At 35.9% G+C, this 15,833-nt stretch overlaps 1 protein-coding gene and 1 long non-coding RNA gene across 5 annotated transcripts in view; both read left to right on the top strand.

The window, feature by feature from the left end:
- Window positions 1–11,172, top strand: part of LOC107987079 (uncharacterized) — a 47,614-nt gene extending 36,442 nt beyond the window's left edge. Inside the window, exon 4 of the long non-coding RNA XR_001746718.1 lies at window positions 10,590–11,172. This is a non-coding gene — a long non-coding RNA (uncharacterized LOC107987079). The remainder of the gene's footprint in view (window positions 1–10,589) is intronic.
- The window catches only part of TRPM3 (transient receptor potential cation channel subfamily M member 3), a 917,912-nt gene that overhangs the window by 153,359 nt on the left and 748,720 nt on the right, over window positions 1–15,833 (top strand). The window lies entirely within an intron of this gene.

Genomic DNA, 15,833 nt, shown 5'->3' with positions numbered 1-15,833 from the left:
TTTTTTCCACAAATGTAGTATATCTCTCCATTTATTTAGGTCTCTCTTAGAGTCTTTCAATAAAATTTTGAACTTTCTACGTAAAGGATTTGCACATCTTAATATTAGATTTATTCTTAGGTACCACCAACCTTTTTTATTTGTAAAGGATATATTTTAAAATTGCATTTTTCTAATTTGTTGTATTTAAAAGTGGTGTACTTTATTTTAATAATTTGGAAATGCTTAAGTTTTCTATGCATAAAATGTCCGTGAATAATGGATGTTTTATTTCTTTATTTACAAGCCATTTATGTGTTATCTTTTATCTAGACTTACTGCATTGACTCACAATCAAAGTTAATGTTGTAAGGAAGTGATAGTGGGCATTTTCTGTGTGTCATTTCAAAGGGAATAATTTTAATATTTCATTATTGAAAAGATAATTGCTGTAAGGTTTTTTTTTGTAGATACCCTTTATCAAGATGAAGTTGTATTTTATTTACTGTTTTTAAAAAGTTTTTATTATGAAGTGATGCTGAATGTTAAAGAACACTTTTTACCAAATATATTGAGATGAATATGTAGACTTTTCTTTCTTTGAACTGTAGCTGTGTTGACTTACATTTCTGGATTCTGATGTTCAACCAACTTTATATTCTTGAGATAAACACAATTTCGTCATTTTGTATTTGCTTTTTTGGGCATTGCTGTGTTTGATTTGCAATTTTAGTTGAATGACAATATATAATCATTCACTGATATGTGAATGATTAGGATTGGCCTGTTATTTTTCATTTCTGGTGTCTCTTTGGTGTCAGTATCAAAAGTTAGACTTGTAAAAAATTTGTAGAAGTATTTCTCCCCTTTCTGTTCCATAGAAATTGTAGTAATATATCGAGGTTATTGATTCCTTGAAGGTTCATAGAACTTGCTGGTAAAATGCTCTAGGTATGATATTTGCTTTGGAAAATCTTCAACAGCTAACTTATTTTTTTAAAAAACATTATTAGGATTATTCTAATTTTCTATTTCTCCAATCTCTTCTTAACAGACTGATAGTAATACTGACTTAAGTCACTTTTAATAATTCACACATTTCTAAGAATGTTCTTTTTACCATATTTTCATAGTTTATTGTTTATATTATCTTTTATTACTTTTCATTTCTGATATTGTTTATTCCTCCCTCTATAAAAAAATCAGTATTTTTTAGAGACTGCTCAAGTTTTTTAGCCATTAAAAACAGATTAACTCTGTTAATTCTCTCACATCTTCTTTTCTGTTTTCTATTCTTTTTTCTCATCTATTTCAGCTTTTGATTGTTATTTTTTTCTGATAGCTTGTTAAAATACAATTCTCCTTTTAAATGGACTCCTCAGCCTACTTTAGCCCTGTGTATGTGTGTATGCATTATCTACCTTTCTTCTAAGTGCGGTTTTCAACTTTCGAGGTACTGTGTGTTCATCAGCATTCGCCAGGTTTTCAATGTTTATTCATTTTCATTATGCTTTACTTTTACATGCGCTCTTTAGAAGTGGATTTCTTTAATTTCTGTTGTTTCTATCTTCTTCCTCCTTATTCTGCCTGCTCTTCTTGTCTTTCTCCTCCTTTTTCCGTCTTTCATTATTTGTTTCTGACTTAATTGTTGTAGTAAAAGAACATGATCTACATGACATTGATTATCTAAAACAGGATGAGATTTGCTTTATGTTCTAATTTGCAATCATTTTCCTAAATGTCCCATCTGAACTTGAGAAAAATATGAAGTCTTCTGTTACTGGTTTCAGGATTTATTTGTCCATCAGGTCAAGCTTCTGATTCTGTTACTCAAGTCGTTTCTAATTTCAATAATTTCTTTTTGATTGCTTTATAATATCAATTATCAGTGTATCAGAACTTCCACTATGAGGGCAGATTTGTAATTGTTTTTTGTATCTGTATTATTTTTTCTTTTGTAGGGTCATATACATTTGAAAATACTACATATTCTTGGTAAATTAAATAACTTATCAATAGGTAATGACTTTCTTTTACCTCTGCTAATATTTTTGCCTTAGGGTCTATTTTGATGAGTAGTGATTAGCTTGATTCAGCTAATATTTGGCTAATAAATCTTTTCTATTGTCAAAGAATATACTTTTGACAAATTAAAGATCTAATTGGCTTTTATGAGCAATTCATGAATCAGGCAATGTCTAATCTACAAAATAGAAAGAGCACTGCTGGCAAAACAGTTGGTTTTGAGCCAGAACTAAGGAAAGTACAATATGAGAAAGGAGAAAGGTTAACATCAGGTTACTTTCCTTGCAAGGGTTAAAGCAGAGGTTACTTCCTTGTTATGCTGGCTCAGGTACACTGGGCCTCTTCTGACTGATTGTTGTGAATCTCCCAATTTTGGAAAAACTGGTATATTTGGGGATTTTCCTGTATTTTAAGATTTCAGTTTAATTATGTGGCACTTGACAAGACTGTCTCCATTTTGGTTTGGTCTGCTGAGGCCTGGTACAGGAGCTCAATTCCAAATAATGGCCTCACATAAGTTTTATTTAATAGTCTTTTCTCTTTTAAATGTTTGTGTCTTCGTTAATAGTATATATTTGGATTTTATCTTTTTGAATCAAATATCATCTGTGTTTTTAGAGTTTAGTTCATTTACATTGATTATTGCTGATATATCTGTCTTCATTTCTAATATATTGCTTGTGCTGTTTTCTTTTTTCCTTGCCTTTTTCAACTTTTTTCTCTTTCCATTCTTCTCCATTAGTTTAGATTTTATACACTTATGTCATTCTTTTAGGTCCTATACAGTTTAATAAGCATATTTAACAAAACCTAATACATTTACCTCTTGCCAAACAATATAAGGGTTTTAGGATGATTTGACGTGAATTACTTTCTTCCTGACTTGTATAATTGTCTTGGATTTTAGCAATATCTTGATTACTCTAACTCTATAAATGAGACCTGTTTTATTTTTCTATATTATTTTGAGCATGTGTCTATACATTATTCTTGTCCATCATTTCTTGAATTTTATATGTTCCTTTTGAGGTAATTTTTTTCTAACATATATCCTTTAGAAAGCTCTTTAGAGAGTCTCCTATTTCTAAACTCTGTTACTGTTGGTCTGAAAATATCTTTGTTCTACCCTCATTCTATTGGACATTCAATTATTGGAACTATTTCTTTCTCAGTATTTAAAACGTATTATTCCAAATACTGGTTTCAAGTATTGCAAACAGAAATCAATATTCAATATAATTCTTTTTCATTTGTAGGTCTCTTTTTTGCCAATTTTAATATCTTTCTTTTTTTGGTATTCTGAATTACATTACGATATATTGGTGAGTTTCTTCTTATTTATTCCTGTACTATCTTAGACTGCTTAAATATATAACCCGGTATCTTATCAGTTCTGAAAAAGAGTGCGTCACATTACCTTTTCACGTATCACCTATGCCCCATCATGTCTTCTCTTTTGTGAACTTTGAATAGATATATCTTTCATTTTCTCATTCTGTTCTCCAGCCTCTGAGCTTCTCTCCTTTTTTTGTACTTTTTAAACTGACATATCATAGTTGTACATATTTTGGGGGTACATGTGATACTTTGATACAAGAACATAATATATAATGATCAAATCAGGGTAAATGAGATACCCATCACATCAAACATTTATCTTTTCTTTGTGTTGGGAATATTTCAATTCTTATCTAGTTCTTATCTAGCTTTTTTTTTTTTTTTTTTTTTTTTTTGAGACAGAGTCTTGCTCTGTCACCCAGGCTGGAGTGCAGTTGGCACCATCTTAACTCTTAACTCACTGCAACCTCCACCTCCTGAGTTCAAGCAATTCTCTTGCCTCAGCCTCCCGAGTAGCTGGGATTACAAGCATGAGCCACCAGGCCTGGCTAATTTTTGTATTTTTAGTAGAGACGACATTTCACCATGTTGGCCAGGCTGGTCTCAAACTCCAGACCTCAAGTGATATGCCCACCTTGGCCTCCCACAATGTTGGGATTACAGGCGTGAGCCACTGTGCTTGACCCTATCTAGCTATTTTGAAACATACAATATATTATTGTTAACTATGATTTTCCTACTGTACTATTGAACACTAGAACTTGAGCTTCTGTTTTATATTTTGTATCTCCTTGCTCCTCAGTGCTACATTTGGAATAATTTCTTCAGCTGTATCTTTAAGTGCACAAACTTTTCCTCAGGTGTGCTTCATCTGTTCAATGCATTTATGGAGGTTCTGATTTCTACTATAGGCTTTATCTCTAGAAGTTTTATTGCTTTCCTTTTTAAAACGTTGAGGTCAATTTTTGATGGTTTCTTTTTCCTTTGACATACTCTCAGTATCATCTTTAATTTCTTTAAGTGCATTTATAGATACTAAATATTTGTGGGGTTTGCAAGATAAATCCTGCAGTTAGCGTTTTCTGCTGTCTCTCTCTCTCTCTCTCTCTCTCACTGTTTTGTTACATATTTTGTGATGCCTTTTTAAGTGTTAAAGTGTGTTCTTCCAGAGAGGATTTGAATTTGCTTTGTGTGTGGCATTAGAGGTGCTACACGTCCATTACATCTTTAAAATAAATGTGTATATGAGGGACTGTTGAGCCAGTTACATTGTGTAAATTGTGTTCTCCCAAAACACAACTGGACTTGCAGTTAGAAAGTCTTGGGAATTTTTTTTCCCCCCTATTTCCACCTAGAGTCAAAACCAAGGAGATATGCATGCCCCACTGTCTCTCTCTACAGGAGGTTTTATTTTTGTAGCTCAACCATTGGGAGCTTCCAGTTTCATATCTGCAGGTCTTCTGTCTGACTGCCTATCTGTTGGGCCCTCAACTTTTTTCTTTGATTTTCTTTAAAAATCTAGACTCTGAGTCAACTCAGGATTGGCTGATGTACCCAGAGTAAACACTGGCTTCAGTGCTGTGTACCTCTCTGTGTCCACCCTTTGTCATTTCTGGCCTCCAAGGAATTCTCCTCATTTCCCTAATAACTCAGCTCTGTGTGAAAATGCCTTTTAAAAAGTTCCACCATTTTTAGTTCTTCCTTGTTACTGAGTTGGTATGTGTGTTTGTGTGGTTTTTGTGTGTGCATGTGTAAAACTAGTCTGCTATGCTACTAGAAGCAAAACGTATATATTTTTCAATAGGGAACTTTCTGTCATACTCAGATGAACTTTGTCTGTTTGTCTCCCTGTATATACACATGTGCACATATGTGTATGTGTATATATACACATATGAAAAATAATGCTATGTGTAAACAGTACATTATAATTTTGTTAATAATCGAACAGTTTTAGCTCTACATCCAGAAAATAGCGTTTATCGTAGACAATATTATGAGATGCTAACATGCCTTCTCCTTCTATTCACTAAGGTATCTTTTGTTTTAATATCATAATTATGATATTAAATATTATAAGTTAAAAATATATTTAATATAAATTTAATATCGGGGTTTAGAGCAAGGAATAATGGGGAAAACCTTGACTTTAAGAAAGCAAATGTTGTAAAACTTCCATCAAGCCAACAAAAAATATTTAACATTTTAAAAATATTTAATATGTAGTATTTTCTGTGACTGAGTCCAATTCTAAATTGATAAGGGGTAGTTAACACAGATCTGCTGCCCTCTAGAAGTTTAAGTTCAGGCTCATTGGTACCTGTATTTTGTAATACCTGTAAATATCTGAGCAAACTGAGCAAGGGTTTAATAAGAATTGCTACCTCAATTTTACAGTAGCTGCTTCCAAAATCCAAATTCCAGCTGTTACTGCGTATGTGACATCGGGCGCATTGCTTAGCCTCTCTAATTACCATTTCCTCATTTATTAAATGGGTTAATGAAAATAACACATGTATAGGTCTTATGTTGCTGCTGTGAGAAACAAAATATCTTATTCAATTGATATATACAGTGCATGGCTGTATATCAATTGTATTATAGCATTAATAGTCCAGGCTTTTTTTTTTTTTCTGAGTAAATGACACATTCTGTAATTCTGGAGTTGTAGTTTTTTTGTACATTGAAGTCCAGCAGTTGAATTTTGAAGGCCTTCTTCTGTACCCTCCAAACTGAGAGCCTACGCTAGTAATATTTCCACTTTCCTGAAGTTGCTCAGCATTTATACAACATCTTATCTGTTACCATGAGTACAGATAAATTACCCCAAATAGGATGGAATTTGTGGGACAGCCTCATAGTGATTGCCAGTATAAAAATCTTATATGCAGCCATGAAAGCTCATTGGTGTATATTCTGAAATGCCTGAGACTTCAGAAGGTAAGGCAAGTCATTGCTTCTCCTGTGAACTATTCTATTTCTGCCTCTTCTTGGCATTTGTACAATACATACAGGTATTGTTTCTCTTACACAATGTATTTCTCAAATTAGATGGTAAATCTCCAGAGGATGGGCATCCCGATACTATCTTATTATGTTATTTTATATACATATATTTATTATTTATATATTTTTATTATATATTACCATATATTTTATACAATTTTATATTATATCATATAATATAATTTATATATAATATATAAATTATATAATATAGTATATAATACAATATGTTATATATTATATACTATATTATATGTTGTATATTATATAATATAATTATATAATATAATTATATTATATATAATTTATATAAAATATAAATTATATATATATAAAAGTATATCGTGGTCAAAGAATGCTTCTGTGAGAGGTGATATTTGAGGTTTGAATTAAACAATGTGAGGCATCTGAAGATGTGAGAAAACAATCCAGGCAGGCGGAAGGGGTTGGCATTTTGAAAAACAGGAAAAAGACCAGTATAGCTGAAACACAACAAACAAGGGGTAGATTGGTACAAGATTGAATCCGAGAAGCTGACAATGGCTAGGTTATTTAATACGTGATTTTTATCAGTAGTATTCCAGGTGGAATTGAATAGAATGTATTGTACTGACTTCTATTTCCTTTTGCCTGTTCTCCCTAAATATGGGTTTTCCATTGCTAACCTCCTAAGTTAAAAGTAGTAAACTTGTTATTTCCTGATTCCAGTGAATATCTCTTTTCCTGTCCCAGTCTTCCACACTCATTGTAACTCCTTTGGTCACAAATGACCAAAAAGCTAGTTTGGTTAGTGATGTATTAAAGAATTAATGTATTAATGGGCTAGATTCTCTGGGTTGAGATTTTCCCTCTCTATGGAAGATGGATTTTGCAAAATGAGCTTTGCACATGAAGGGCAAATCACAGCACGATTCTGGCTCCTTGCAACAGACAGATTGCAAATCCAAATAAATTACATGCCCTCCCCCGGTTTAGCTTAATTTGAATTACTATTGTCTAATATGAGTTTCCTGAATTGTTAATCATGATTTATCAACAAGTTGATTGGGAAACTACAAAACTACTAAACCTGGTCTGATGACACCTCACAAAATTGCGGTGATTCCCATACCTCGCTACCTTATGAAAGGAAATTCTGAAGATCTCAGAAACAATTGTCAGACTTTCTCAAACAGATGTGGAGCCCTTGATTTTATGGCTTATAGGTTTTCAGAAATGAATCACTTTTTTCTTTCCCTGAAAATCACATGGCTTTTTGCATTAAATAAAAATAGGAGAAAATGAGGATTTGAAGGAAAGTTATAGACAAATATGAATAATTTTGTGCTGTGACATTATAAGTCTTCCTGCTTATGTAAAATGGATATGCCACTGTTTGGAAATTACAGCGCATAATGGATTAATTTGCACCTGTAGAGTGATTGGTCAAGGGGAGTCTAGGTGATAGTCCTCAGTGAAGCTTGATTTTGAATTTGGTACCTACTCCAGCTGGGAAGTTAGGCTGGTGAAAACAGCAGGAACAAGCTAAATGTGTGCAGCGACTGGTGGTGGTGGTGCTTCTTCTCAGCCAAGAAAGCCTTGTATGATGTCTGAGCACTTGAGCTGGCTTGGACCAAATAGCTTAAGCATTATTTGATTTGGACTAAGTAGCCCTGAGATGAAATGGCCTTTTATTCAACTTTGTTAAACTGGGGCGTGCTGGGCCTTGTTTCTCTGGAGTTTGCCAAGTGAACGGATCGGCAGCCTCGGAAACAGAGCAAGACATTTCTGCCACATCAGTCTCTCGATGGCAACAGTTCGAGCTAATAGGCAGCTTTTCAACTCTGAGGACTATACTGTTTGCTCAGTGTTTCCTTGCTTGTTTGGGTACACAAAAAAGAATAGGAAGAAAAAGAGGCAAAGGCCATCTCTTTACATAGTGCAGCTACGACCCTCTAGTGGATGCTAGTGAGAATGCAGGTAATTTGAACAGCAATGGGAAAGATTTAATTATTTCTAACCGTCAGATAACATGGTGCACACCCAGGCAGGATTGGAGGAGTTAGGGTTCAGTGGGGCCTAAAGCTTATACAGTTTTAGACTGGATGGGCACTTTTAGAAGAAAATGTAAAATATCTTACTTAGGTAAGTGTTACAAAAACATGCAAATATGTAAACACATTACTAGAGTTCTTTCCCATCTCCCAAGTTTCATGAATTTCATGGTAAATTTGCCTCTGGATTTACCTGTTCTATGTTTGCTGATTTTAATTAAAATTGAAATTATGGAAAATGTATTTTTTAAAATGTTTGAGAATTGCAGCTTTTTAGTCTATAAAAGTTATTTTGAACAAAAAATGTAATATACTTTGTAAGTGTGATACAAAATTCAGACTTAATTCACAATTCTTTCTTAGGAATAGTTATTCTAGCTTTTATAGCATTTTGCAGAGTGAATAGCCTTTTTTATTTCCTAGCTGAGTTTTGAACTGTATAGACTAAGTAATGTAGAATACATTAGTCTTTAGCTTATAAAATCTTAATTGAGTTATGGTAAAGTGCAAAGTTAGTAAATGTTAGTGAATAACATTTCCCTCACTAACCAGAAGAAAGTATTCTAATGATCAGCATGGTCAATTCTACTAATTTATGGCTTACCTATATAAATAGGTGTGTCCCATAATTAGAAATCTTTTTTATCAGAAATGTGTGACCTCACCACTTAAAAGAATAACAAGCTAATATAACAGTACTGCGTTTATTAGGCTCAGATTCTGAGAGGCGAGCTGAGAGACAACCTGTAAGGCCATCTGATCGAGTCTCCTAGGCCATTAGACAGATCAAGTGTTGTATTCTCCACGTTTTCTTCACATATAAGGATGGCTGATTTTAAAGAAAAACTTAGATTGAGCTTCTTGATCTCTCCCAATATTGAGACAAACTACCTGAAGGATTAAAAACTCTGGATGATTATCCTGAATCACTAGATGTCTTTTAAGTTGAAATGGAAGTTAATTTTATGTTGGCAAGTATAAATTATTTTAACTTAAAATCCAGAAAAATAGTAGCTAGCTTTTAGGTTTGCTTTTATGACATTTCAGGCACTGGTCTATGTATCATGCTAGTGCATGTACTTTCCATATATTATTTCCTTTATCCTGGTAAAAAACCCATTGAAGCTGGTACTACAGGTGAGAACACTAAGGACCACAAAGGTTAAATAAGTTTCCCAGGGTCATTTAGCTAGCAAGTGGCAGAACCAGGGCTCATATCAGGCATTCTGCCTCCCTAATATATTGTCTAACTGTCAGAATTCCCTGAGGAAACCCACTGGCGGTAGGAAGTGGGACAGATTAATGCGTTTAAAAAGGAGGAACATAGACACAATTATGAAACATAACTCTCAGAAGACAGTATCTGAACTCACATAGATGTTGGTATATTAGATAGGGCACTTGACTTGTAATTTGAAACTCCTGAAGAGGGGTGGTAGTTAAAAATGTAAGAATAGAGCTGGGTATAGATCCAAAAGAATTGAAAGCAGAATCTTGAAGAAATATTTGCAAAGCCACGTTCAAAACAGCATTATTTGTGATACCCAAGTGCCCACCAACAGATGAATGGATAAACAAAACGTGGTATATAAATACAATGGGATACGATTTAGCTTTAAAAAGGAAGGAGGCCGGACATGGTGGCTCATGCCAGTAATCCCAGCACTTTGGGAGGCCAAGGCGGGGGATCACGAGGTCAGGAGATTGAGACCATCCTGGCTAACACGGTGAAACCCCATCTCTACTAAGAAAAAAAAAATGCAAAAAATCAGCCAGGCGTGGTGGTGGGTGCCTGTAGTCCCAGCTACTCGGGAGGCTGAGGCAGGAGAATGGCGTGAACCCGGGAGGCACAGCTTGCAGTGAGCCAAGATCACACCACTGCAGCCTGGGCAACAGAGCGAAACTCTGTCTCCAAAAAGAAAGAAAGAAAAAGAAAGAAAGAAATGCTGACACATGCTACAGCATGGAGGAAGTTTAAGGACATCATGCTAAGTAAAACAAGCCAATGACAAAAACACAAATACTGCATGGTTCCACTTACATGAAGTATCAGTAATAGAGTTATAGAAATGGAAAGTAAAATGATGGTTTCCAAGGACTTGGAGGAGGAGTGAATGGGGGAATCGTTTAATACAGACTAAACTGTACAATTAAATATGGTTAAGATGGTAAATTTTATGTGACGTGTATTTTACCACAATTTGATAGGAGTCCAAGAAAGGAATAAGAGTGAAGGATCACGATATGGCACCTTGGGAAGCACTAGAAAGGAGGAAAGAAGGCCTAAAAGTGAGACTGAGAAAGAATGGTCGTCCAGCGGTGCCCCGAGGGGTAGGGACAGACATTCTTACAAGTTCAAGGTAGCTGGTAAAGCTGGTAGCATACACACATACCTTAGGTCTTATTGACTTAAAGATATCTAGTCACATCAGCCACTTGTAGAGTCTGATGATATTTCAGTTAGTAAATGAGTTATTTTACATTGGGAGAGGATAGTGGGCAGGGCAGTAATATTCCTAAGTAAGAACATCTCTCCTATGGTTTAAGTTCTCATGCTGGTGAGTCTTAAACAAGAAAGAGCATGCCATTAATTTTAACTTTAAATTCCTATACAGATGGTGCTCACAGATGTTTCCAACAACAGACTTCTAAAAAAAATAACAATTTTACTTGAAGTTTAAACATAAATATGCACAGACTTTGTAGTGCTTTGGCATACCTCTTGTTTTTAAAAATAGCACTACCCTTTTACCTGCTTGGGGTGAGTGAGCCTTTGTTTAGTTACAATTTTCTCTTTCTTTTTTTCTTTCTTTTTCTTTTTCTTTCTTTTCCTTTCTTTCTTTCCTTTCTTTCTTTCTTTCATTCTTTCTTTTTCTTTCTTTCTTTTCTTTCTTTCTCTCTTTCTTTCCTTTCTTTCTTTCTTTCGTTCTTTCTTTTTCTTTCTTTCTTTTCTTTCTTTCTCTCTTTCTTTCCTTTCTTTCTTTCTTTCATTCTTTCTTTTTCTTTCTTTCTTTCCTTTCTTTCTTTCTTTCATTCTTTCTTTCCTTTCTTTCTTTCTTTCATTCTTTCTTTTCCTTTCTTTCTTTCCTTTCTTTCTTTCTTTCGTTCTTTCTTTTTCTTTCTTTCTTTTCTTTCTTTCTCTCTTTCTTTCCTTTCTTTCCTTTCTTTCTCTCTTTCTGTTTTGCCCTTGTTGCCCAGGCTGGAGAGCAATGTTGTGGTCTTGGCTTGCCACAACCTCTGCCTCCCAGGTTCAAGTGATTCTCCTGCCTCAGCCTCCCGAGTAGCCAGGATTACAGGCATGTGCCACCACGCCTGGCTAATTTTGTACTTTTAGTAGAGACGGGGTTTCTCCATGTTGGTCAGGCTGGTCTCGAACTTCCAATCTCAGGTGATCTGCCCACCTTGGCCTCCCAAAGTGCTGGGATTACAGGTGTGATCCACCGCACCTGGCCACAATTTTCATATCTACAGTACCTTACCATTGTTGAGGATGTTAATGTACACTCAAATGTGGTTTTCTCCTGTAATTTTTATGAATTTAATAAGAAATTAATATGATTGCTTAGGAATCCAGCAAATTCTAAAATAATATGAAAAGTATAACTCCTCAGTTTAGGAAGAGTGTACTTAAAATGCTGTAGACAGCAATGAAAAGGACAGAAAGACAGACGTGGCTCTAAACTCCCACCAGCAGAATTAATTCAAATATATTGAGCGGATTCCATGTACTAGATACTGTACCTGGGGAGACAGCAATGAACAAAATGCTTTCCCAAGGAGCCTTATTCCAGAAAGCAAACAAAATATGTGAATAAAATAGATGGTAGCAGTTGGGGGCAAGTGATTTGGATGTAAGGTGACTCAAGCTCTAACCTGATCCTGTAAGTGGGTCCAGGTGCTTATGAACTGTTCTTAATGGTCATTCAACTCTGTCACTGTCCCACTGCTAAAGTTTGCCTCTTCTTTATCCCGTGTGTCCTGAATTGCTGTTGTTTTCTCAGCTTCTTCCATGACACAGGCTAACCTTGAAAAACCAGGGTTGGTCCTTGTCACTTTGACACACCTCCCGACTTTGCTTTTGTGGTTCTGACTTGTCTGTGAGAGTGCCTCTTCCTCCAGGATATTCACTATCCATTTCAGCAAATATTTATTAAGAATGTCTTATATACCAGCCACTTTCCAGGTGCTGGGGACACAGTGGTGAACAAGACACATGTGGTCTTTGCCTGCACAGAGCTTACTATCAACCTAGGGAAAAACAACAAAAAACATCTGAACAGTCAAGTGAATCTGATAAATGCTATAATGGAAGCAAATAGGATGCTGAAATAGAGAATAATAGGGGAATGAATGTAGATATATTGATCAGAGAGTTCCTCCTTGAATGTGTGCCATTTGGGTTAAGATCTGGAGAAAGAAAGGAATCAGCCCTTGTATTGATGCATTTGTGTGTGTGTATGTGTTTGTGTGAGAGGAGGCCACGAGAACCCCATGTGCAAAGACCCTTAGCTAAGGGGAGCAAAACCCAGCACCTTCAAGGACCTGCACAAAGGCTTTTGTATCACTGAGTAAGTGTTGGAATACAGGGTGGTCTGAATCTGTTTCTTCAACAAAGCTAATGCTAAAATCTTATTTGACTCCATTATTTAATTTTTTTCTCCCACAAATCCTCTCTCAAAAATCCAGGGCTTTTCTTTTCTTTTCTTTTCTTTTTTTTTCTGAGATGGCCCCTTGCTGTTGTTGGCTTTTTCTGAAGGGGAAGGGTGCTGACTTAGCCAGAGACTTCTGTGATTTGTAGGCGTGCTTTACTTGTCATAGCATCACACATAACATACATATGTTCCCATTGGGAAATTTTCCATGTGGGGAATATTTTTCCACAAACATTCTGTTTAAACAAAATTTCAAAATCATAATGAGACTTCCCTAATGAAATTTGCCTACAAAAATAGGCAGTAAATTTTAGTGGTTCACGTGACTGCAGGACCCACCATATGGCATTCACGTGCCTGAGTTGCTGGTGTCCATCACTGGAGGAAACTGCTTAGTTGAAACTACCATGTTGGAAACCATGTATCAGTAGAGCATAATTGGTTTTACATTACACAATAAAAGGGGAGAACCTTATACATCCCCTTTTTTTTTTTTTTTTTGAGATGGAGTTTCACTCTCATCATCTGTGGTAGAGTGCAATGTCAAGATCTCGGCTCACTGCAACCTCTGACTCTGGGTTCCAGCAATTCTACTGGCTCAGCCTCCTGCGTAGCTGGGATGACAGTCATGTGCCACCACACCTGGCTAATTTTTGTATTTTTTAGTAGAGATGGGGTTTCACCATGTTGGTCAGGCTGGTCTCGAACTCCTGACCTCAGGTGATCCGCCTGCCTCGGCCTCCCAAAGTGCTGGGATTACAGGCATGAGCCACCGCGCCCGGCCGGGATAATTTCCGTCAATGCTGGGTATTGGTACCTTTGAAAAAACATCAGTCAGCATTGCTCCTGAATCATCTCTCCCTGTCTACGCTGAGTCCTCTCCCCCAGGCTCTTCCTTCCTTAGAGGTTGTCCTCTGAGCCTGCTTGGGGGCTGGGGGAACCAACACTTCCAAGTGTTCACACCAGGGTTCTTTCTAGGCTGTCATAGAGTCCCTAACAGCCCTCCATGTTATGCCAGGCTTACTAAATGGCTTCGTGTCTTTCCAAGACGCTTGCCACAAACACATGTGCATGGTAAAAACATACAGTTTCATTTTTTTGCTCCTATAAAGTTTTCCTTTTAAGTCTAGATTTCAGTTTCTTTTAAAAATACTTTGTTTTTCAAAACTGCCAGATGGACAAATATTTAACTACACCCTCTATTGCCCTGGAGAACGTCAGTAAGCCAACACACCTTTGAGCTCCGTTGTGTAACTATCCGTATTTGGAGATTTTTTTTTCATAGTATATTTTCTACCCAGTGGATCTGGCTGCAACTGTTGATATTTTCACAGGAAGGGGTTGCCCTCCTCTGTCTGTGTACGCATTTTGGGCTCAGTAGCTGGGCCAAAGGAAATATTTGTAGTAAAGGCCCATCTGTTAAAGAAATCAAATTCCTTTCATTTCCACTATGGGGTATTCTTCAGCAATTCGACTGAAGAAAGAAATGAGCATAAATGGTCGTTGGTGGTTTTTTTATTTTTATTTTTATTTTTATTTTTTTTAACCTAAGCAGGATAAGTTTGGTGAGGAGAGAACTTGACATGAGTCTTACCAATCTGCTAACCAAAAGAGAAGTATGTTCTTATGGTGTTAGTATGCATTTCTTTGATTATCATTGTAGCGGACTATTTCTGCTTATACTTGTTGGGCACTGGTATTTTCTTTTCCTTTTAGGTTTCACGTTTTTTCTTGATAGGTAAGATTTCTATAATATATGTGTTACATATGGATATCTCAATATGTCATCATTAACCCTCTGTCATATACATGTCCAGGTTATTTCTGATCAAATCTGTCAATCTATTCCTTTCTGTCAGGTTGAGCCACATAGAGTTACTGTTTCTGTCCATCAAACATGACAAAAAACCCCAGCAAGGACATACGGTTCAACCTAAATAGTTTGTAAGCCTTTGATGTCATATCTAGAGAGTTTGTATTAATCTTATATTATATGATGTTGCATATGTACTTTTCTTTGTGCCTAATAACCTATACTGTTTAAGAATTGTGTTTCTTTGAAAATTAACACTTTATTCCTCCTTTTAGTATTAGACTCCCTTCTAACATGGTTCAGTTTTATCTGATTTGGTATCTTTTGCATTTGTTCTGATACTGGTACTGTGGTGCTCTTACCTTTCCCTAACTCCTTTGAGATTCCATTCAAGAATTGCTCCCTTTGGGAAGCCTCTTTGACCTCTTTGGCATGGCCAAGTGCTAATGTTCTGTGCTTCTTTGGGGGACCACTCTTCCATGGAATTTATCACCTCTACAAAGGTTGTTGATTTCTCCTCTTCTAATCTGGGATCATGGCTTATTTACTTTCAAGTGCTAGGATTTAGGACAGTGGTTGCCTCATAGTAGATCCGCAGTTATTGTTCCTTTTACTGAAATTGTACTAATTGATCAGGATTTTCCCATGGACCAAGGAATAAAGCAGTTATTTCTACTGCTTAATGCTTAATGCTAGGTGATACACATCCGAGCAGCTGCCCCAGCCCCAGCACTGGTAGAAATAACAGGACCACTAGAACAAAATGTGCTGCGTTTTGCATTGCTGTCCCACTCTCTTTATAATTAGTCGCCTTTCCTTTGTATTTCATTTTTCTTTTTATGTTTTTAAAAAATAACCTCCTGCTTTACAGTTCTACTCTCTGACTTTGTCTCTGCATCCTCTTTTCCTGAAACCCATGTGTGGAGTGCGATGCTTAACTATTTCATGTGTATGTGGATTACACATTGCTGAAGCATTTTTCCTGTT

This window comes from Homo sapiens, chromosome 9 (assembly GCF_000001405.40).
Source record: "Homo sapiens chromosome 9, GRCh38.p14 Primary Assembly".
Lineage (NCBI taxonomy): Eukaryota > Metazoa > Chordata > Mammalia > Primates > Hominidae > Homo > Homo sapiens.
Note: the sequence above shows the minus strand (reverse complement) of the source record. Positions and strands in the feature narration are given on the sequence as shown.